The following is a 24,065-nucleotide window of genomic DNA, read 5'->3' as shown; positions in this document are numbered from 1 at the left end:
CAAATAGTTCACTATATACTGTGTTTGTTCTCAACTATCCTTTTTAATGTTTACATAAGTTTTTGAATCAAATGAACCTCTACAGAAAAAAAAAGTATCTACAATACAGAAGTGGTCCTAACAAAACTACCTTTAAAAAGACAACCCAATACAAGAATGAGCAAAGGCTGTGAATTGACAATTCACAAAAAAAGAACTCAAAATTGCCATTGCAGTGAAGGTATGCTCAGCCTTACTAGCAGTGAAGGAAATGCCAATGAAAGTAACAGTGGAAAACTGATTGTGCCCATCATAAACATATCCATTATAAAGAATTATTTAAAGGGCTGGGCGTGGTGCTTCATGCCTATAATCCCAGCACTTTGGGAGGCCGAGGTGGGCAGATCACGAGGTCAGGAGATCAAGACCATCCTGGCTAACACAGTGAAACCTCGTCTCTACTAAAAATACAAAAATTTAGCCGGGCATGGTGGTGGGCGCCTGTAGTCCCAGCTACTCGGGAGGCTGAGGCAGGAGAATGGTGTGAACCTGGGAGGCGGAGCTTGCAGTGAGCTCAGATTGCACCACTGCACTCCAGCCTGGGCGACAGAGCGAGACGCTATCTCAAAAAAAAAAAAAAAAAAAAAAAAAAAAAAAGAACTATGTAAAATGTAAACACTTACAGAGTGACAATACTCAGTGCTGACAGGCATATGGAGAAAAAAGCACTATTAATCATTACTTGAACAATGTGAATTAAGACTTTTTAATAAAGAAATTCAGTAATGTCAAAATTTTAAATGTACATATCCTTTGATCTAGCCATCTTATATCTGGGAATAAAGTCACCAGTAGCTAAGGATATATGTACAAAAATGTTTGTTGCTATATTATTTGTAATAGTAAAACAAAGCAAACCAAAAAAATAAATAATGGAACTAATCTGAACACCTATTGGTAGGAAATGGTTGGATAAATTTTGGCATATCCATACTATGGATATTATGTAGCTATATTAAAGAATTAATTAGTTATATGGTAGTTCAGCAGAGGGGTGGAGTCCTAATTAGGGAAAGGAAGTCAGGCTGGTGGGAGCAGGAGAAAGTGAAAAGAAAAAGCAGGTAAGCTGTGAGTCTGCCTTTCTTCATGGTCCAGAACACATAGCCCTCCTGCGCAAATAACACAATCTTCCTGCGCCCAGCTATCACCAGAGCCTTCACTGATAGACAAATGCAAGTTAGCTCACCGCAATCTTGACATTATCAGGACTTCACAAAGCCCTCTTTAGCACATAGCACAAGCACCATTCTATAAAATCCCCAGCAAGCCTTTGTCTCTTTGCAGTTAGCTCCTCTCTTGCTAACTTGCCCGTTGCTTCCTTGCAATGTATTTTCATACTTTCTCTAATAAATTTGCCTTTGTCTACAACGGCTTGGTAAATTCTTCTTACCGCCCTCATGATACCAGCTTAAGATAGTCACTGCTCACCCACAACAGGGCCTTTGGAAAGTACTTATGTCATGAGGATGAGGCTCTCATGAATGAGTTTAGAGACTCCAGAGAACTCCCTGAAACCCCTGTGCCTTGTGAGGACACAGTGAGAAGATGGCTGTCTGCAACCTGGAAGAGGGTCCTCACTACAACCTGATCATGTTGGCACCCTGATCCTGGATTCCCAGCCTCCAGAACTGTGAGAAATAAATTTTTGTTGCTTATAAGCCACCAGTCTCTGGTTACTTAACAGCCTTAACTGACTAAGGCAACTGTGAACTAACAATAATATTTAGACATCTCTGCTTTGTGGTTCAGGAGATAACTACCAACTCCTTGCAGGAAGAGTCCTGATAAATCCTTAGGTAGAAGCACCACTGGGTGGTGGGTAGGGCATTGTTCCAGCACCAATCCCTGGGGAGCTGTGTTCATACCATGTCTCTGACTGACGTACTTTCATCTTACTCTCAGGAATCACAGAAAATGTGTGAGGAAAAAGCTTAGAGAAGATTGGGCACGGTGGCTGACGCCTGTAATCCCAACACTTTGGGAGGCTGAGGTGGGTGGATCACCTAAGGTCAGGAGTTCGAGACCAGCCTGGCCAACATGGTGAAACCCCATCTCTACTAAAAAATGCAAAAACTAGCTGGGCATGGTGGCATGCGCTGGTAATCCCAGCTACTCGGTAGGGTGAGGCATGAGAATCGCTTGAACCCAGGAGGCAGAGGTTGCAGTGAGCCAAGGAAAAAAAGAAAAGCTAAAAGAAAGTTCATGACCCAAGGTCCAGTGATCTGTAAGTTTATTCAGCGGCAACTTGGCCAAGAGCTGGGGCAAGGCACAAGAGAACATTTAACATACTTGTCTGTCACACATAAAATGGACATTCCAGCATGGCATTGATCTATCGATGGAAATGTTAAGATTTTTCAGTCAGCAGAGACATACAACAGACTCTAACTCTGGAAGCTCAGAAACATTACTATACTTTTCCTTTGATAAGGGAACCAACAAGTGTTCAGTACTTACAACTTGCCAGGTCTCGACCTAGATCTTTAACCTTCCTTCTTATTAATTCTCCTCACAGCCTTGTAAGTAGCAATTATCACACCAACTCAGTTGAGAAACTGAGTCTCCGAAGGGTTAAGTAGCCTTTCCCAAAGCCACACACCTGGGTATGTAAGTTGTAAAGTTAAATTCTAACTGAGGTCTGCTTATTCCTAAGCCAATGCTCTTACCTGTGTTCCATTAGAAGCTCCACACACAGGATATAGTATTAATTGAAAAGAAGTAGGACACAAAATTGCATATGCCTAATATGATACTGCCTATTTTAAAACATAAATGCATAATTAAAAAAGAGAATATATGAAAGCATTAATAGATCATCTAGGTTGGTGAGACTATAACAGTTATGATAATAATAGCTAAAATCTAAGTGCTTACTGCATTCAGGCACTAAGGACATTAAGTAAGTTCTCTCATTAAATCCTCAGAACAATCACTTGGGGGTAGCTATGATTATTTTTCTCCATTTTACAGAAGAGGAAATAGTAAATGACTTGTGCAAAGTCACACAGCTTATGAGTTCTGGGTTCAAACTCAATCTCCAAATACCTTGCTCATAACAATACACTCTAGTACTTTTCACAAATAAATGGACATGGACTTATTTTTTAATCAGACAACAAATTAATGATTAAAATAAAATCAAACCCAAAACCAAATTTTCTTCCATGTATGGTTATTCAGCAGGACATGGGAGCCTCTTGGGCTGGCCCTTTGTCCACCATAAAAGGTTAATCTGGACTGTGAGGCTGTTCATCCTCCCGCTAGCCAGTGCCTTCAAGGACACACTGCCCTGCAGTCATTGTCCCTAACCAGAAGAGGCACCCTCTTTCATTTCATGGTAGTTCAGCTCATGCCCACCCTGGGTACACTTGCTGGGTGTTCTGCCTCAGAACCAGGTCTGTAAGAAAGGGACCCAACCACTGTTGGTTTGACCTAATCTTCCTATTTTCCAAGACTCTGACTTTTTTCCATCCCCATCTTGCTACCAAGTCTCTGGTTTACCTAGAGGCAGAACCTACAATGCTCACTTTTAAGTAGCCTTCTAAGGATGGGCTGTGAAGGTGCACAAATCACAGCCACAGCTTAAAAAATGAGCAGAAAACAAGGCAAAGTTGACCGGCAGCTCAGATCCTCCCTGCCTTCTGAACTCAAGACTATACCCTGACAAATGCCCCAGCACCTCCTGGCTCTGTCAAGTTCCCTGTAATGTGTCTTCTCCAATAGCAGGTGGCGGGTAAGTGATCCACAGTAACTGCCTCCTCCCTTGTTCCATCCTTGACAACAGCAATCCTCAGTGTCTTCAACTGAACACCAAGCTAACTGTGCCTCCCTGACACACTCAGTGGTGTCCCTTAAGCTAAGCAACCCTGAGAATAGAACCTCTGCATCCAAGGTGGAGTGGGGCTGACACCCACTCTGCCAGCCTGCTCAGTGGGCCCAGTTGTTTCCGGCCTGCAGCTTCCTTCTCATGGGAACTTGTCAGTCCATCTAGATCCTAGGTGTGGCCATCTGGGTGTCTGGGTGTCAGAGTTGGCCAGTCCGGAGAAGCCTACGTAAATTTAAAACCTATGAATTCTCGTCTTCGGTGACTATGAACTCTCTCTGGCTTGTTTCGGGGAAGCAGAGTGTACAATCCCCAAACAGTTTTCCTTACAACAGTAGTGTCTGTTGGGATGCTAGTATGTTAAAAAGTGGGGAAAAGTTAGCTGGGCACGGTGGCTCGCGGCTGTAATCCCAGCACTTTGGGAGGCCGAGGCAGGTGGATCACGAGGTCAGGAGATCACGACCATCCTGGCTAATACGGTGAAACCCCATCTCTACTAAAAATACAAAAAATTAGCCGGGCGTGGTGGCGGGCGCCTGTAGTCCCAGCTACTCGGGAGGCTGAGGCAGGAGAATCGCTTGAACCCTGGAGGCAGAACTTGCAGTCAGCTGAGATCGTGCCACTGCACTCCAGCCTGGGCGACAGAGCCAGACTCCATCTCAAAAAAAAAAAAAAAAAAAGTGGGGAAAAGAGTCTGTTATTAAACGAGTTTGGAAAACTCTGCCTCCATGACTTTTATTGAAGAGTCACAGTTCACATTACAATCTCCTAGGTCTATGAAGTCCTGCAGTAAAGAAACCTGCTTACCCGGGCTTCATCTAGTGACACCCAAACTTCCTTGGTTATACAGCTCACCCCTTTCTCCCCCAGAACATCTGTGGACCTCATGTTGGACATGCTGTTGACAGAATCTAGTTGGGAAAATCTCGAAGGCCTGAAAATGAGGAGGCCAGGGTGATCGTCCAGGTACGCCTCTGGCCAGCTTCTCTTCAGTCCCTTCTCCAAACCTCAGTTTCTTCATCTGTAAAATGGGAGTTAGATCAAGTTAATTTTCAAGCTACTCCTGAAGGAACCCAACGGTGTCCATGAATCTGCCTTAGAAACTTCCTCAAGGGATAAAGGGGAGAAGAGGATCAGCTTGAAGCTTTCCAGACCCCTCACCTCCAACCAGCATAGCAAAGTTCCTTGTAAGAGGTCCTTTAAAAAATTTCTTTTGGAAGGGAAGGAGGAGGGAAAGGGATGGAAGAAAGGAAGAGTAATGTGTTCCCCTGAGACTGTTACCGCACCCCTGCCTGACACTCCCCGTTTGGACATCAACGTAACCACCCACACACCCCTGCCCACGACTCCTGCCGTCCAAAGGCTGGATGCGACACTAACATTCTAATACCACAACCAAATCACTAATTCTCAAAGTGAAACATGTGGACTCCCCAGCTGCTTATTAGAATTCAATCCTGGGCTCTTAGACCTACTGAATCAGAATTAGGGGTCAGCAGGAGCTGACAATCTAAAGTTTAACAAAGGCCCCAGGTGATTCTTAGGTACTCTGAAATTTGAGATCCACTGCCCAGATTTTAGGAGCTGGGAAATTTCCATCACACTAGGCAACTGACTCCCTCCTCCTCTGGAAAGGGTTACTCCTCTGTCAGAGTGGTAGAGTGCAGGGACATCCCCTACTACAGATGGTGCGTGGGCGCAAAGCAAATCTCACAAGCATGCCCAGGAAAACTAAGACCTGGAGACAAGGGTCCAAAACTGATTGTTAGAAAAGGGAAGTCTGGGCTGGGCGCGGTGGCTCACGCCTGTAATCCCAGCACTTTGGGAGACCGAGGCGGGTGGATCACGAGGTCAGGAGACCGAGACCATCCTGGCTAACACGGTGAAACCCCGTCTCTACTAAAAATACAAAAAATTAGCCGGGCATGGTGGCGGGCGCCTGTAGTCCCAGCTACTCGGGAAGCTGAGGCATGAGAATGGCGTGAACCCAGGAGGCGGAGCTTGCAGTAAGCCAAGATCACTCCAGCCTGGGCGACAGAGCAAGACTCCGTCTCAAACAAAAAAATGGGGAAGTCTGCAGTGAACATAGGAAGCTAAGGTGCTACAGCAAAGGGAGCTGGAGCTGGAGAATGAAACGCAAACTATGGAGAGCCCCAATGGCCAAAACTAGAGAAAGTCTGTGCGCATTCCAAAGACACAGGTCAATGCTGGGCTGGGTGTTGTCTTGCTTTTTTTGTAACTTGCTCTGGCTGGGTATTTATGTGTTACTAGCTTATGTTTGCAGAGGCAGAACAAATCTGTTAGATGTCAGGAAGGCGGCAGATGTAGGTAACCCGCACTTTCTAGAATTAGAAATAAATAATTGTTTTCCTTCTTTACGCCTCCCCCCACAAAAGCAAATTTCACCTTGGAAAATACAAGCGGTTTTTTGGGATGATTCCTCTGTCATCCCCAAGCCTCACCATAGAGTTTTGAGGTGGGCAGCCCTAAGAACACCCCACAGGGACACTGGGACTTGCAATCTGATTTTCAAGTCAGCACAGGGCTGCTAATTCCTCCCCTGTCTCTGAATACTAAAAAGTCTCCTGCTTAACACTTAAACAGTGTAGCATCTTAAGAGGAAATCTTTTCTCTGTCCTTCTGAAAGCTAAACAACAGCAGTCCGATGGAATCCAGTTAACAAAGAACAGTTTAAGAGCCTTTCTGGGTTCTTGATCTTGTGCCTGAGCTGAAGGAAAATCAAGATGAAATAACCAAGGAGAGTCTCTAAATCCTAGCCTCCGATTTCTCTCCAAAAACCCTAAGCAGCAGATTCTGTCTTCACCTCCTTAGTGATGTCAGTGGCCTCAGATTTCTGTCACTCCTTCCTCTGTCACATAAAGCACGTTACTAAGACAGCTGGCAGTGGCATCAGACATACCTGGTGTTGGATCCCGGCCCTGCAGCTCACTCAGCAGATGAGGTCACTTTCAAAATGGAGGGTTGGTAAGCATTAGTGGGGCTTGATAAGCATCCTCATTTGCATGGGGCCAATAATAAGTTACCACATAAGATCGTTACGAGGATTCAGTGAAGCAGTGACTAAGCAGTCCTTAGACCTGGGCTTTGTCCACATTCATCTTTTTATTGTAATTTTTATTACATGCCACAGTCCTCTAACAAGGCACTTCCAAATTCATATAACAGATAGAGTGCAAAACCCTCCTAGATGGTCAGAATTTGCTGAACTGAATTGAAGGACTAGGAGAAGGCAAAGAACCTGCATGAAGTGAAATGCAGGAACTCACATTGCCGTATAAATTAAGGACAGTGTGGATTTGAAAGGAGATTAGGTTGTTGCTTCTTGTTTATTCTACTGGAACGTGTAACACAAAGTAAAAGAAAAAGAAAAAAATCAACCAATTTTCCTCATTAACAGGAAAAAGTACATACAGAATTCCAGGATAGATACTAGAAGGAAATACAGAAAGGAAGCAGAAAAAGGCACTCACTTGTACTTCCTTCCCAGGGAGGGATGAGCCGTTTTCGAACATCCTCAGGTCACAATCTCACTCCTTATACTTCTCTTTGTCCTGCCAATCTCCTTTGTCAGAAAGCTTCAGGTTCTGAAAGTTTAATGTACCTCAAAATCACCTGGAGGGCCTGTTAAAACACAGGATTTCTGGGCCCCACCCACAGTTCTGACTCAGGAGGTCAGGAGAGGAGCTTGAAAATTTGCATTTTTCCTACTAAATTCCTGGTGCTGCTGCTGCTGGCCCAGGACTTCATTTTGAGCAGCGCTGGTCTAACTCCACCCCTTATGAGTTACTTAACCTTTTTTTGAGCTTCAGGCACCTCATATATAAACTGGAGATAAGAACGCCTACCTCTTAGAATTCTTGTGAGGATTAAATGGGTTACTCCTCATAAAGTGATTAAAATGATCTCTTGCATTCATGAATCCCTCGATAAATGTGGCCTATAAAAGCCATAATCCCAGAGAAGGGGCTGCAACAAGGATGCACTTTGCGGTAAATTCCTCCATGCTTGCTTATGGAACTCGTATGGCCCCTCGTAAGATTGTTGAGAAACACAGAAACAATGCATGTAAATTGTTTAGGATTCCTGGCAATAAAAGGCTCCAAAAAAAATTCTAGTTGTTTTTCTTAGTACAGCTTGGAAGGATGTGGTAATGAGCTCAAAAAGGTACTCTCGCTCTATATCCCATAACTCATAAGGAGCAAGACTGGGATTTGAACCTTCTAAGCCATTTGACGGCAAAACCCATCCTCTTTACCACCCCAAACATAGCAAATATATTTCATCTTCCAATCATCCCATCCAGTAACAGCTGTCTAGAGCACAAGCTTCTGACACATAAATATTCTGGCTCAAAGGGAAGGATTGTTGGAATTGATTAGAAATGTTTAGCTGCTAGAGACAAGAGTGTCAAAACAGAAAACAGATATTTGCTGCCCCTGCACTTTGCTATAGCAACACAGATGGTGGTAAGGGTTTCCTAATTTTACTGAAGATTATATGTAAATATACACAAATCAGGTGAATGCTCCCAGGAGTTGCTAATGATTTCAGATCTGCGGTCCGGCTTCCCTCCCCCACTGTAATCTAATTTTGCGTGGTATTTCAGTGTACACAAGTGAAGACAAATAGTTATATGACTAAGCCACATCTGTAGGTGATCCAAAACCATTTCTCTTTGGTTTTAGAGTTCCAGCAGGACTACAATGCTTTAAAACTGTCACTAGATATCTGGCATGATTGATAGATATTCTAGCAAGCTTCTGGACAGTATAGATTTAAAAAGGTAAGAGATATTCCATCTTCAAGTAAAACCTGAAAAACAAAGCTTCATCCATCTGGAGAGGACTCCTGATTGTGTGAAGGTATTTTCTAATTCCCTTAAGCCAATAGTTCTCAAACTTCAATGCACAAGAAAATTGACATGAGGAAATGTGTTTTAAAAAGCAGATTACTAGGTCCCCACCTGAGAGATTCTAATCCAAAGAGTCAGAGATGGAGTGGGGTAATCTGCATTTTAAAAAGAAAACACCAGGGTTTCAGACTATACCTGGGAAGCCCTGCCTTAGGCAAAGTTACAGAATAGCCATTCCTCCTGCTTTTCAGTAGGAGGAAACCTCTTCTACTCAAAAAATTTGGCCCAACAATCCCATTATTGGGTATATACCCAAAGGAATATAAATCATTCTGCCATAAAGACACAAGCTCATGATGTTCATTGCAGCAGTATTCACAATAGCAAAGACATGGAATCAATCTAAATGCCCATCAGTGACAGATTGGATAAAGAAAATGTGGTACATATACATCACGGAATACTATGCAGCCGTAAAAAAAGAACAAAATCATGTTTTTTGTGGGAATGTGAATGGAGCTGGAGACCGTTATCCTTAGCAAACTAACAAAGGAACAGAAAATTAAATATCACATGTTCTCACTTATAAGTGGGAGCTAAGTGATGAGAACTCATGGACACAAAGAGAACAACAGACATGGCGGCCTACTTGAGGGTGGAAGATAAAAGTGGGGAGAGGATAAAAAAATAAGTATTGAGTACTAGGCTTGGTAACTGGGTGATGAAATAATCTGTACAACAAACCCCTGCGACATGAGTTTACCTATGTAACAAACCTGCACATGTAACCCTGAACCTAAAATAAAAGATAAAAAATAAATTTCTCAGACAGTGGTTGAGAAAACATAGGATGGCAAAAAACTGCAATGAATGTTGTAATGGTTATAGATAAATGTGTATTTTACTTACCACAATAGTGTGTATACTTTTATTTGGGAAACCCATAGTAGAAACTCCCTGTAAGAGACAGTGTTTAATCTGTCTATATATAAAACTCAGTGCACAAATGGATTCGAAATCTTTTTCAGATAATTCTGAAACTTTTCCTCCACACCATCATTCACCTGAGGGGTAGAGGAAAAGGTAAGTCATATCCATCAAACACTTCCTATGTGGGAGCAGTGGACTCATATTGACTGCTCTACATAGGATTATTCACTTAAAACCAGGAATGCAATGCTTTTGAGCTAGGAGGTGGAAATTCCACTCCAGAGGTGGGGCTCAGACATCAGACCAAATTGAGGACTAGCTAAAACACAGATGGGGCAGAAGCAGCTTTCTGTAAGATAGGCCCACCAGTGTGCCATGTCAGGTTACCATTGCCATGCCAACTGGGAATTCCTGCCCCTTTCCATGGCAATGACCTGAGACCCAGAAGTTACAACCCCTTCCCTAGAAATTTGTGCATAAACTGCCCCTAAATCTGCATGTAATTAAAAGTAGGTATAAATATGACTGTAGAACGGCCCTGAGCTGCTACCCTCTGCCAACTAGGTAGGCCTGCTCTACAGGAGTAGTCATGGAGCTATCACACTTCTAGAGCTGTAACACTGCTGCTTCAATAAAGCTATTTTCTTCTATCTCTGGCTTGCCCTTGAATTTGTTTCCTGGGCAAAGCCAAGAACCCTCATGGGCTAAACCCATTTTGGGGCTCACCTGCCCTGCATCACTTTCTTCCATCATCTGTACCAACAGAGTACAAATTCAAATTTGATTAATTCTCATTTTACTATAAATGAGATGTCTTATATTGTCATTCCGGTTTTTATGCTTTTGGTGGCTAAAACTCACATTTGTAAGTAACACTGAATTAAAAAAAACGTGTTCAGTATCTACTGTGAGCAAAGCATTTTGCTAAATACCACAAAGACCTCATCAAAATTGGTTTGGGTTTCAATGCAGGAGATTCTTATTAAAGAGGTATTTGCTTGGACACTTTTGGTTGGTGCCTATTCTATTTTCTAAATTCAAAACTTCTCAACTTTAGAAACAGAAACTGTTCTTCCTCAATAAAGAGTTACTGGGTTCTTTGTTTTTTCAAGACACAGTTTTACTCTGTTGCCCAGGCTCGAGTACAGTGGCACAACCTCGGCTCACTGCAACTTCTACCTGGGTTCAAGCGATTCTCCTGTCTCAGCCTCCGAGTAGCTGGGATTACAGGCACATGCCACCACACCCGGCTAATTTTTGTATTTTTAGTAGAGACAGGGTTTCACCATTTTGGTCTGGCTGCTCTCGAACTCCTGACCTTAAGTGATCGGCCCACCTGGGCCTTCCAAAGTGCTGGGATTACAGTCGTGAGCCACTGTGCCTAGCTAAGAATTACTGGGTTCTAACAGATGTGGATTAAATAAGATTATAAACCCAATTGCTTTTTGTGTAAACTCACATTCAAATTAGCTTGAGTTCCCTGATAAACCTCTGAGTAGATGATGGGAGATACTGGTCTAGAATTCAACATTTGCGCCGAAAATCTACAATGCACATGTGGACAATAAGGAAAAAAATGAATGCATGGAAAAGACAAAGGAAAAGACACCACAATTATCAATAAACAGGGAGCGTTGTTCAGCAACTCAAGTCTTGCCTGGCACTGAAGAACTGGCTTGACTTTACCATGGATTTGATGTTTTCATACATAGTAACAATAAGGACTTGGACAGACAAAAGCCCCAACTTACCAACACAAGGACGAAAGCACTCAGAAAGTGGCTTAACCCACTCAGTTCTGATCGTTTCTAGCTGGGTAATGCTCAGCTTTAAAACCATCAGGCTCATAGATGATGGACTTGTAGTTCATTAAGAAATGTTTGGAAGGGGATGAGAGAGGAGAAAATGAGAGCTGCTTCACTGGGAAAACTTTTTTTAATGCTATTTGTCTTCATGACACCAAGGAGAAGTACAAGGAGATTCAGCAGCTGCATTTAGTTTGTAATGACCATTCATTTCTGTTGATCTCTGACCTTGCTGTTTTCAATCACACAGACACGGAAGCTCGCAGCTCCACCAGGAGATGTTTCAGGAGGCAGTTTTCCTTTGTAGTGTGGTGAGAGGGAAAGAGGTTGAAAATAAAATCTCTCCAGCAAGACAGATTGCTCATGTGCTTTAGCTGACAAAGGGTTAACAGAACTTCAGGTCCAGTTTCCTGCTCAGCTGTTTAATTGCTGCAGGCCAGGGAAATATTTGAGAGAGAGGGCTGTTACCAGGGGTCTCATTTTTCAAAGACCTGTCAGAAAGCTAGTCCACTGAATGAGTTTATACAGAAACCAGGAATTGAGTCTGTTTCCCAAATTCGAATGACCTGGACCCTATTGACTTATCCCTCAGCAGGAATTATCTAGTTGTTGGCTACCACGGTCCTCTCATTTGTTAATAGATTGTTTCTCAAAATAAGCATACCATATACAAGGGGTGTGTGGTGTGGAGAGTGTGTGTACATTATTTTAAAGCAGGGCTTCCCCAACTTGAGTATGCATCTGAATCACCTGGAGGGTTTGTTAAACCATAGATTGCTAAATCTGCTGTTACATTCTGTTTTAGTAGATCTGAGTGGGGTCTGGGAATTTGCATTTCTGACAATTTACAGGTGATGCTGAGCCTGCTAGTCTGAACACTACTTTGTGAGAACTACTGTCCTAAAATATACTTACCACTGTCATCTTTCTGCTTTAATAAATATACTCAAGCGTGCACCAACATAACAAATTTTTTATGTTCTAAAAATGCCAATATATTACTGTTATTAACATCTACTTTGAGTGCCTATTGGACACCAGTGCTATCAACCCTCTGAGGCAGGCATTATTGCCCAATTAAAAGCTGGTCCAGCCCAAATCTGACTCCTACGCCCATGCTCTTAACTACTTTACTACATTCCTAACACATAATAAAACAACCAGTCAAAATTAACCAACCTACAAGTATTTTTAATCAATGTCCCATCTCTATCCTAATAAAATATATACTTGCACTAACTCTCAGTGGAAGAGTATAACCTTTCTCCTTATGGTACTTAGAACCAAAAAAAAAAAAAAAGGAATATATAAGGAATATAGCAAAATCAAGTAACCAACAAATGTATCCTGAGTTATCCCTGGATGCCTGAGGACCACAGGACAAGCCAGCTCCCTGACCCAGTAAACCCGAAACAATCAAAGAATAGTCTAAGATCATTGTGAGTGTCAAATATGAACACCATAAGATATTTTGTATGGTCTTGACAAATAGGAATAGGTGGAAGAGGTAACATGGCACCAAAATAACAATCTAGAGCATTGGTTCTCAAGCTTTAGCAAGCACCAGAGTTACCTGGAGGCTTGCTGAAGCACACATAGCTGCCTCCCAGTTTCTGATTTAGCTGGTCTGGGGTGAAGCCCAAGAATGTGCATTTCCAACAATGTCTCTAGCAATGCTAAAGCTGCTCATCCAAGGACCAGGCTTTAAGAACCACTGTTTTAGAACTAGACTTCCCTGATTAACTCAGCCTCTCTGATCCATCTGTCATTCACTGATTCAACAGACATTGCTTGAGTGCCTACTATGTGGGAAGCTTCTTACTAACTCTGAGAATAAAGCAGTAACCCAACTAGACAAAACATTTGCCCCCACAGAACTCACTATTTAGGAGGGGCGATAGGCCAAAAAATTATAAATATGTAGATCTAAGGAAAGACAGAATAAAAGTGAGCAAATGGAAGGATGCTGTTTTAGATAGTGTGATTACCTCTCTGAGGAGCAGAGGCCTAAACAGGGTAATGGAGCAAGCCAATGCAGATATCTGGGTGAAGAGAGTTATAAAGAGGAATTAGCAAGTGCAAAGGCCCTGGGAAGGAAAAATGCTCATTGCGTTCCAGGAAAAGCAAGGAGACTGGTAGCAGGAGAGTGTGCAAGACACCTCCTGGGAGGTGAGATTGAGACTTAAGAGTAATCTGCTTTTTTTTTTTCTTTTGAGACAGAGTTTCACTCTTGTTACCCAGGCTGGAGTGCAATGGCATGATCCTGGCTCACTGCAACCTCCACCTTGAGGGTTCAAGTGATTCTCCTCCCTCAGCCTCCTGAGTAGCTGGGATTACAGGCACCCACGACCACACCAGGCTAGTTTTTTGTATTTTTAGTAGAGATGGGGTTTATCATGTTGGCCAGGCTGGTCTCAAACTCCTGACTTCAGGTGATCCACCCACCTCAGCCTCCCAAAGTGGTGGGATTATAGGCGTGAGCCACCACGCCTGGCTGTAATCTGCATTTTCAAAAAACTCCCCAGGAGATTCCAATTTAGATTTGGGGCTGGGAATAACATCTCAGACGCTCTTATTTCTATAGCTCATCCAACTCTTCTCAATTCTTATCAACACTATTTGGGTGTATGATCTGTGAGTGGACACATCCCTATAGCATACAACAAAGACTGCATCCTCATAGGTTAAAGTTTATTGGACAAGCCCAAAGACTGGGCTTGTCATGGCTCTTACTCAAAGAAATTGTTTCTCTCTCTTAAACAAAAGAGACTGAGCCAAGCTTATATATTGAGTGAGGAAATGAATGAGAAAGGCTGAATCCAGAAAGGAAGGGGCAGCTCTTGGTGACAGACGAGATATGGAAGGCAGGCCGGGCGTGGTGGCTCACGCCTATGATCCCAGCACTTTGGGAGGCAGAGGCGGGCGGATCACCTGAGTTCAGGAATTCAAGACCAGACTGGCCAACCTGGCAAAACCCCCATCTCTACTAAAAATACAAAAAATTAGCCAGGCATGGTGGTGTGTGCCTGTAGTCCCAGCTACTTGGAGGATAAGGCAGGAGAATCATTTGAACCTGGGAGGTGGAGGTTGCAGTGAGCAGAGATCACACCACTGCACTCCAACCTGGGAACAGAGCGAGACTCCATCTAAAACAACAGCAACAACAAAAAAAGATATGGAAGGCAAAGGAAAGAAGAATGGATATGCATGGCCATGAACAGGTTTTTAGAGAAACAATGAAATATACATGAGACAACAATGAGTTGAGTTTCATATATAAGTCTATATGAATCTAACTGAAGTGTGTGTGTGTGTATGTGTGTTGAAGAGTGTGAGATGGCAAGACATGGGGAAAAGGTCATGACTGGAGGCAAACAGGAGGCAAATGAAGCCCCTAAATTAAATAAGTTCCCTGAAAAATAAGTGTGCAGAGTGGAGAATGGAAGACCAGGACTAAGCCCTGGTAGGGAGAGATGTTGAGGGGCCAAAAAAAAAAAAAAGATATAGAATCAACAGCAAAGTACCAGAAACATATGAGACCCTACCAACCTATTACCCCAAATTACTGTTTCTAACAGAGCTTCAGCAAACACAAAATGGGCAAAGGTCAGTTCTCCTGTCTTTCAAATATATGGGTATGTAACTTTACAAAAAAAGAATCTCTTATTATGGGGAACACTTTATCCCATAAATAAGTCAGACTCAATTATTTTGTATCAAAACAATATCTTAGCTTTTAACTAGCACAACTGCCAATACTCAGAGTCACATATTATGAATCACTATTTGCTCCTTCCTATACTTTCTAATTTGCTGCTAAGGAGACAGTGCTGAATGGGGTCATTAATCTGAATTAGAAATACTGTGACCTGCTCTGCACTTTACTTGCTAACACTGTGTGGCAGAGCTGCATCTGTGGGGGTTTTGCTTTCTATACTGCTCTGAGAAACAGTTGAGGCAAGGGAAGATGCTGAACTAGTTTTAATTTTTAAGCCCTTTTTAACTCCAGGTGCCATTTGTGCATCTCATACTGGGCTTTCAAATTCTTGCTATCATTTCACTGTTTCTACCGGAGCTGTTGTCAAATGACAAGCTTTGCTCAGCCCCTGTCTGGAAGTCTAGAAGGCTCACCTTAGAAGTCTAAAATAATGTGCCCCCCTTATTAGAAAAGGAAGATGTGTATTTTTCTGGCCCGATTGACATAGCTTAATGGATGTTCACTGGTCATGCCATGGAGGGAAGAATCTGAATGGAGCAGGAGCACCTGCAAAGCAGTTAGTTCAGTAAGTCTCCCTTTTACCATTGTGTGCTGACTTCAGAGGAAATACAATAAATGACCCTTGGAAAAACATAACTGCAAAGCCTCACTTTATAGCTTTCAGGCATTTATTTCATGTACATTAATTACTTACTATGTGGACTGGGAAAATAAACAGAAAACAGATTTATTAATTTACTTCCTTGTTTAGGACCTGATAAAAATTGTGATGGAATTGTTGGGGCTAATGGGAGTTGAGGATTATCTTCAGAGGTACACCAGCCTTGTTCTACCTTCGACAAAAAGAGGGCCTCTCTTGACCTTCTCTGCCCTACTCTGACCTCTGATTGATCACCACCCTTACTGCTAATAGTACTACTAGTACAAACTAGCTAGAAATAAAAGCAGGTCCCACGAAGTTGGAAAAATCCCCAGTTGGCAGGTCTGTTAGAGTTTGTCCGCAGGTACAGCCCCAGCCTTCTGAGGTTGCCATGCAGGGAAAACGACTGCATTTCCTTAAGTTCATTCTGGAAGACTCTCCCACATTTAGAATGCAGAGCTGAAGGAACTATAGGTCTAAGCTGAGGGTCATTTATTTGTCTGTCCTATCTGCTGGCCTCTGCTACACCATTCTGGAGCCCTCAGAAGCTGGGAGGATTGGGCACTCAAATTTTCTCTATGGCTTGTGCATGAAAATTCTTCTCTTTGTAACTGATCTCCTGTCTCTCCACACCCCGCTTTCATGGTCCTGGGTGGTGTTGTCCTTGAAACAGCTCCACCTACCTGCAGCTTTGCCCAGAACCTCCTGAGCTGGCCAGCATCCCACTGCCCCTTCCACATGCCCCACATCCTCCTCAGTGACCTAGAATTGACTATATGTAGCCAATCACTTTGGAGCATTGGGCTTTGGGGGCTTTGTTGCTGCTCTAGGGCTACCTGAGTAATTTTCAGCGGTCACAAACCCCAGGATCCCTAGTCAGTGTAATTGTAAGTCAATCACTTCCTTCTAATTCTGCTTCCACTTCCCTTTGGGCTGGCAAAATCATTACCATGCTTTCTTTCTCTCCTCAGTCGGGCATTTGTACAGGCCATTTACTTTGCTTCTTATGAATCTTCTCAACTGAATATTATTTGGGAGTGATTTTACTTATTTATTTAACTCAGAACTGCAGAAGGCCCGTCATTGATTTTCCTCCCTTCAACAGCCTAGGGCTGCCTTCTGTTTTTCTAACTGTGAGTACATGGACAGATGATCCCCAGAAGAAACCTTCATGTGGCACAGCCTCGAGGGCCCCCCAACATGTAGCCGTTAGCCTACCAATAGCCTGGCTTGGAGACCCCATGATCCAACAAGGCCAGAGGAAGCAGCACTCTCTCTTCTAAGGAGGCACTGCAGGCAGGGCCAGGAGATAGGGGGATTTGTGTGTATGGGGAAATGTGAAAACCCCTTCCAAAAAGGTCCAAGCCTGCCTCACTACACTAACAAGAAAAAAAATATGAAAGTGCCCCTTGAGTCAGATACAGAAGTTCCATATATAGGATGGTTATTTATTTATTTATGTATTTATTTATTTATTTTACTTTTTGTAGAGATTAGGGTCTTTCTATGTAGCCCAGGCTGGTCTTGAACTCCTGGCCTGAAACAATTCTCCTGCCTCAGCCTCCCAAAATGCTAGGATTACAGGTATGAGTCACTGTACCCAGCCAGGATGGTTATTTATGATAGTAAGTTTTGTTGAGTCAGAATCAAGGAGGCTACTAAATTCCCCTAGGACACTCCCTAAACTCCCATCTTCTCCCTGTTCCATCAGTGATCCCAACACCCAGCACAGCAGAATGTTCACATTAAGGCTTTTCATGTGGTGGTGCAGGGTTCCTGCCTCTGCTTAAACCCAGGCCACAGAGCTCAGAAGCTCTATCCCTGGAATGCCCCCTCTATCTCTGATACTTTAAAATTCCCCTAGTGACATGCATTTCCAACGTTCCAGGATTGCAGACTCCTTTACCTGCAGGCATGGATTAATTTGGAGCCAGGTTCACTGTCCATTCCTGAGCCTATGCACATACTTCTGAAGCCTGCTGCATTTTTAATTATGTAATTAAGCTGCTGTCAGCATTTCCACAACCATTTCTCATCCTCCTTCCTTTAGCATTTTATAACATAGCAGCAATTCCCTAAAGAGGACATCAATATAGGGGCATCATGTGGTGGAAGAGTGTGGTCACAGAGTCGATGGGGCCTGGGTTCAAATCCCAAGGCGGCAACTTACTGGCTGCATGGTCTTGGGCAATTTATTCAATCTCCCTAAATTCTAATGTCTTCTACTTCATGTCATAGTTGTGAAGATTAAATAAGATAATGAAGAGAACTACTTATCCTGGATCTAGAATAGCACTGTTCAATAGATATAGAATGTGAGCCACATATGTGATTTTAAATTTCTATTAGCTACACTTTTTTAAAAAGGAAAAGAAACAGATGACATTAATTTTATTTATATGTTTTATAACCCAACATATCAAAATATTATTTTAACATGTCACCAATATAAAAATATAAATGAGATATTTTAAATTCCTTTTGTCATACTAAATCTTTGAAATCATATGTATTTTATACTTACGGCACATCTCAATGCAGACTAGGCACATGCCAAGTGTTCAACAGCCTCATGCAGATAGTGGCTAAAATATGGGACAGTGAAGGCATAAAACATGGTAGGTATGAAGTAAAGGAAAGTTCCCTTCACTAAGATGCTATCTTTCCATGCTTTGGAGTTTAGGCATATTTGAAAATGAAACACTGAAGTCAGATTTAGCCCCATTGCTAAAAGGCTGCTTTTGAGAGTTTCTGTGATGTTCTCTTTCCGCAGGAAAACCAACAATTTGGTGCCCAGCTACCTATGCTTAGGTAGAGAGTTCTAAGGATGTTCACCTATCCTGCTCTTAGCCAAACAGATGGATGCATGTTCACCTATCCTGCTCTTAGCCAAATAGACAGATGCTGCTATATTCTTGATTTCTTGGAACCCTATACCTCAGAGTTGCAGGGGCCCTCAGTAGTCTAACCTAATCTCTCCTCAAATGCTTGAGCATTTTAATATTCAAGCTAGTCCCTCAGCCTCTTCTTGAACGTCCCTAGGGATGGGCAGCTCATCATGCTCCTGGGAATGCCTGTTCCACTTCAGATGCCTTTGGTCATAACAGAACTCTTCTTTAGATGAGATTCATCTTCTCTCCATCTTCTACCCATTGGTTCTAATACTAACCTCTGGGGAGATACAGAACAAGTCAGAGCCATCATCTGTGTGACAATCCCAGCAGTATTTGAAGTAGGCTCTCAAGTAACCTCTAAGTCCCTTTGTGTCTAGGATAAATAGCCCCAGTTACTTCCATCTTTGCTCATATGACAGTTATTGAGTAGTTTCTTGTGTCCTTTGCAAAGAGCAGCCCCAGAATTAAGCATGGGGTGTGCAGTGTGGACCTTGAAGACAAATATTCCCACTTAAAGGTGGCTCTACCACCACCGTCACTTTCACCACAACCACACCACACCTTCAGCACTGGTTGGCAAGGAGCGTGTCAGCCCAGATAAGGCTCTGCACACAGCGGCCCAGCTCAGAAGACAACTCGGGGGCTCTGCTCCACGCTGGATGCTGCGCCTCCTCCACCTACTAGCTGGGGCAGTCACCCTGGCATTTCTCCTCTCCCAGCTGATATGGTTTGGATCTGCGTCCCTGCCCAAATCTCATGTCAAATTGTAATCCCCAGTGTTGGAGGTGGAGCCTGGTGGGAGGTGATTGGATCATGGGGCAGATTTTCCCCTTGGTACTGTGTTGTGAGAGTGAGTGAGTTCTCATGAGATCTGGTTATTTTAAAAGTGTGTAGCACCTCCCCTGCTCTCTCTCTTCTTCCTGCTCTGGCCGTGTAAGACGTATGCACTTCCCTTTCACCTTCTGCCATGATTGAAAGTTTCCTGAGGCCTCCCTGGAAGCCAAACAGATGCATCCATGCTTCCTGTATTGCCTGCAGAACCATGAGCCAATTAAACCTCTTTTCTTTACAAATTACCCAGTCTCAGATATTTCTTTATAGCAAAGCAAGAATGACTAATACACCAGCTTGGGATCAAAGAGGACCCAGAGCTCCAGTACCACCTTTCCTCCCACATGCCACAGTCTGTGAGCCACTCCCAGCCTCTTCATGGCTTTGTACATAGAGGCAGGGGCCTGGAGATGCTTTGACTTGTTCTTTCTCTGGGGGATTAGTGTTGTTCCTTCTGTGCCCCTCTGACAGTGGGAAACCATTGGCTAGCTTTCCCTGTATGTGATATGGAAACTCCTGGAGCTACAGATTTGAGACCCTCTTTAGGGTCTCTAGATGTTTCTCTGCCACTGGTTAACTTCGTATCAAACTCCCAGTAAGACTTGGTTCAAAGGAGTAGGGTAGGCTATGCATGGTGATGTTGGGCAGGGCCAAACACAAGTCTCCAGAGATGTGCAAGGAAAGGAGCAGCTGCAAGGGAAGATTAAGCTCAGCTTTGCTCCCATAGATCAATAAATCAGTCAATCTTTATTGAACTCTTCTGCCCACACATGCTCATTAGCCAGCTTGGACCCAGGAGGAGCAGCCTGAGATTTGAGGGGGAGGGGAAGGCCTCCGGCCAAAATATTTCACCTCACAAAGGTCAGTGGTTTCCCTGTGGGGTCATTAGCTAATTCATGCTAAAGTGTTAATGACTTATCAGCTTTCATTCTTTCTAAAGGGACTCCAACCAGGGGTGAGCTCTGAGAACTGATTAGAGGGCCTGGGTAGAGACCACCCAACAGGGTAAAGGATGGAGAAATAGATGCTAAATGCGATTTTCTCTATCTTGTCATTTTCTCTAGGGCTTGGGATGCTGAATATTAATTAGGGTGGGAACAGAAGGCAGGAGTGGGGCTCTGGTGACAGCACCACTTTCATTTCATTTCCCAGCTCTTGCTTCACCAAATGTGACATGCAGCTGGTCACTCGGCTTCTCAAGACTCTGTCTTCTCACTAGGAAAGCAGGAGTGTCCACCAAACAAGAGTTGGGAGGATAAAGCACTTCATACAGCTCTCAGTTTAAAGATAAAATGTGCTGGTTGCTTTTGTGCACAATGAATGCAACACAGAGACCAACAAGAGCTATGACCCTCAAAAAAGAAAATGGATGGTAGCTCTTCCTCAGGCCGTCACCCGTTCCTCATTTGGTAGCCTTATATGACACCAATATTCGTAAAGTTGTCCAAGCCCTTTTGATATTCATTCCTACTCATTTATACAGCCTCCTAAACTGCCTCCTAATTAATGAGTGTGAGAAGTTTATTGTTCTGAAATCGCTTCCCTGCAATGCCAAGGTGACCTCCCCAGCCAAGAGATTCGGGATTTGGTGACCAAGCTGCATTTCTCTTTTCCTTTTGGTTCTTAATTATCAATTCAGCATATGTCTTAGCTCCAGCTTTTCTCTCAGCAGAACATGAAGTGTGTCTGTATGCCACAGTCTTGCCTCCTTCACACTAGTCCTTCCTTCCTTCCTTTCTTCTCTTCCTTCCTTCCTTCATTTGACAAACATTTACTGGGTTCCCTCTATGTGCTGCTGATAAAGGCAGAATTACAAAGACAGTCTCTGGACTCATAGTCATTACATACTAGTGGGCAAAGGTAGACAAGAAGCAGGTACGCAAGCAAATGAATAAAGTAATTCCAGTATAATGTGAGGTGTAAATAGATGTAATGGAGAAAACAAACAAGAGGCTGAGGTGATGACTGCTAGAGAGAAGGTCATCTACATCAAGCAAGAGCTTCTCAGGTGAGAAAGAGCTCAGAATGAGATGCTGAGGCACTGAGAGACAAGTGGGGTGACTAGGGCCTAATGAGCTGGGTTAGGGAGGAGAAGCAAGGAGGCAGAGAGTGGGGTTGAAAAGGAGGCTGGGGCCAGATCAGGCAGAGCTTTGTAGCCCATCATATGAAGTTTGAATCTTATTTTAAACTCTATTTTTGCTGAGAAGCTGTTGAAAGATTTTAGTCATGGCAGAAACATAATCTGATATGTCTTTTGAGAGGTGACCTTTCCCATCAGGCGGATAATGGGTTGGGTTTGGGAGGGCAGATTGTAAATTCAGACACTGTTGCTTTAATCTAAATGAGAGATGGTGGTGGCCTAGACCAGTGGAATGAAGTAGAGAGATTCCAGACACATTACTGACAGGACTTGCTGATAGATTGGATATATGGAGTAGGATAAGGGAAAGAATTATCACCAATGATTCCTGGGCTTCTCTTTGGAGTAATTGGATCAACATACAGAGGTATCATTATTAAGATAGGAAAGACACAAAGCAGGCGGTAGCAGAGAACCAAGTGTCCTATTTTCAAACACGTTAGTTTCGTGATTCTGTGAGTTGTGAGGTGTCAAACAGATGGATGGATTTGTGAGCCTGGAATTCACAAACATGACCAGAGATAAATTTGGAAGTCATAGCAAAAAAAAAAAATTGACCTTTAATCCATAGGGATCAGTTTGATTTCCTCCCTTCTGTCAAGCATTCCAGTTCCTCTTCTGTAGACATAATCTAGTGCCGTTACTGTTGTTGTGTAGCCACTAAGACTAGACTCATAGATTTCCAGGTCTGACCAGGCAGTCCCAGAAAGCAACTGCTTATTTAAGGACAACTGAGAGAAGTAGTAGCCACTGCTATTTCCTGTGGAACCTCACCCTCTGACTCAATTCTAAGGAACCCTGCTCATTGCCCTGTATTATTCTGGAAGGAGTTGTTTTTCTCCCAAAGCTCATTGCAAGTATTGCATATACCATTTGGCAAAATGGCCATCTCAGTAGATACTCAAGCAAATATTTGTTCTGTTTTTTAAAGTGGAGGTAAATGACCATTTCTATCTTAACTCCGGCACCATTTCCTTTTGTGTGAATAAATTCATTTTCTGTCACTGCTGGCTTTTTGAGACAAACATATTTTAGGTATTACATGTGCCTGCAGCTAGGACATCAAGTGACAGTGTTACAGGACAGGTGAGCCCCCAAATTGGGGCTTAGCCTGGGAGCGTTTTTGGCTTTACCCAGGAAGGAATTTAAGGATGAGCTGATGGTGTTAAGCGGCAATCTATTAGTGAACAGTATTGCTGCTAGTGGAACAGTGCTAACTCATAAGCAGCGCACACAGAGTCAGCAATGAAGGGGCTCTTGGCAACTGTATTGATACTCAGGTAACTCCACTTTCAATTACAAGCAAATTTAGGGGTGGGCCAATGCAAATTGAGGGGCAGATTATTTAGAACTTTCTAGGAAAGGGGCAGTAACTTTCAGGTCCTTGCCATGGAAAGGGGTGATAGCTTCTGGATCTTTGCCATGGCATTTGTAAACTGTCACGGCACTGGTGGGAGTGTCTTGTGCTAATGAGCAATGAGGGAAGCTAGGGATCACTTTTGTCACCATCTGCTGGTTCCTGCCAGTTTCTTCATTTTATCCTGTCTGGACCAGATCTTGTTTTGGTCAGCAGGGCTGTGACCAGAAAACAACTCCTGCTGGCCCCCTACCTCAAAAGACAATACAAAGTGTGATAAACATAAGAAAAGACAACAAAAGAAATTAGGGCATCTTTTACCCTAAGAATACATCCCTAGAGGACCCAGATATTCACAATGATTCTAGTGAGTGAAGGGCTCCGAAAATCATAAGCTACCAGAAAAGAGAAACATTGCTCATAATATCTAGGTTTTTCTAAATTTTACATTTCTCCCATTTTAGAAACTAAACAAAAGTTGGATTTTCCCCCTTCCTGTGTGTCTAGAATTGACTCTTAAGCAAGGTTTAATAAAATTTATATTTTATACTTTGTTAAATATTTCTAGAAAGTAGGAGATTTTGGCGAACATGTACTTTGAACAAAAATCACTATACTGTTAAACATTTGCATGGTGTTATAAAGTTTTCCATATACAATTACAAACACATTATTTGCTAACTCCAACTCTCAGTCTAAGGAGAATCAAACAAAACCATCAGCATATGCCATGCCAGCAAGTTTTTCTGTTTTGAACTACTCTAGGGAGCTTGAATTTGCATGCTAAAGTTAAGTGAAACAACTTGATTATATTTGCTGAAACAGCCCATTACTGAGCATCATTTAAGAGGACCACTAAATTTAGCACATGTAATAGAAATGGATTACCTCCATCTAACTGTGAGAGCATTGAGGAGAAACTATAAAAACATTGAGTATTATGATAAATTGAGATCTCATAAATGAAGCTGGTTAATTTTCTTACCAATTATCTTGCTATTACTTGAATACAGTT

The 24,065-nt window shown here is 42.9% G+C and overlaps 1 long non-coding RNA gene across 1 annotated transcript in view, besides 2 other annotated features; it reads right to left on the bottom strand.

Moving 5' to 3' along the window:
- The window catches only part of LOC105374690 (uncharacterized), a 231,734-nt gene that overhangs the window by 52,033 nt on the left and 155,636 nt on the right, over positions 1–24,065 (bottom strand). The window contains exon 5 of the long non-coding RNA XR_940109.3: positions 7,354–7,467. This is a non-coding gene — a long non-coding RNA (uncharacterized LOC105374690). The remainder of the gene's footprint in view (positions 1–7,353; positions 7,468–24,065) is intronic.
- Positions 5,246–5,776: an enhancer, noted in NCBI's record as "H3K27ac-H3K4me1 hESC enhancer chr2:56346884-56347414 (GRCh37/hg19 assembly coordinates)". NCBI's record gives its function as "activates a minimal SCP1, AML or CMV promoter by ChIP-STARR-seq in naive H9 embryonic stem cells {active_cell/tissue: H9 hESC(naive)}" and the evidence as "EXISTENCE:reporter gene assay evidence [ECO:0000049][PMID:30033119]".
- Positions 5,317–5,611: a silencer, noted in NCBI's record as "tiled region #8616; K562 Repressive non-DNase unmatched - State 2:TssF". NCBI's record gives its function as "represses a minimal TATA promoter and a strong SV40 promoter by Sharpr-MPRA in K562 cells {active_cell/tissue: K562}" and the evidence as "EXISTENCE:reporter gene assay evidence [ECO:0000049][PMID:27701403]".

This window comes from Homo sapiens, chromosome 2 (assembly GCF_000001405.40).
Source record: "Homo sapiens chromosome 2, GRCh38.p14 Primary Assembly".
NCBI lineage: Eukaryota > Metazoa > Chordata > Mammalia > Primates > Hominidae > Homo > Homo sapiens.
Note: the sequence above shows the minus strand (reverse complement) of the source record. Positions and strands in the feature narration are given on the sequence as shown.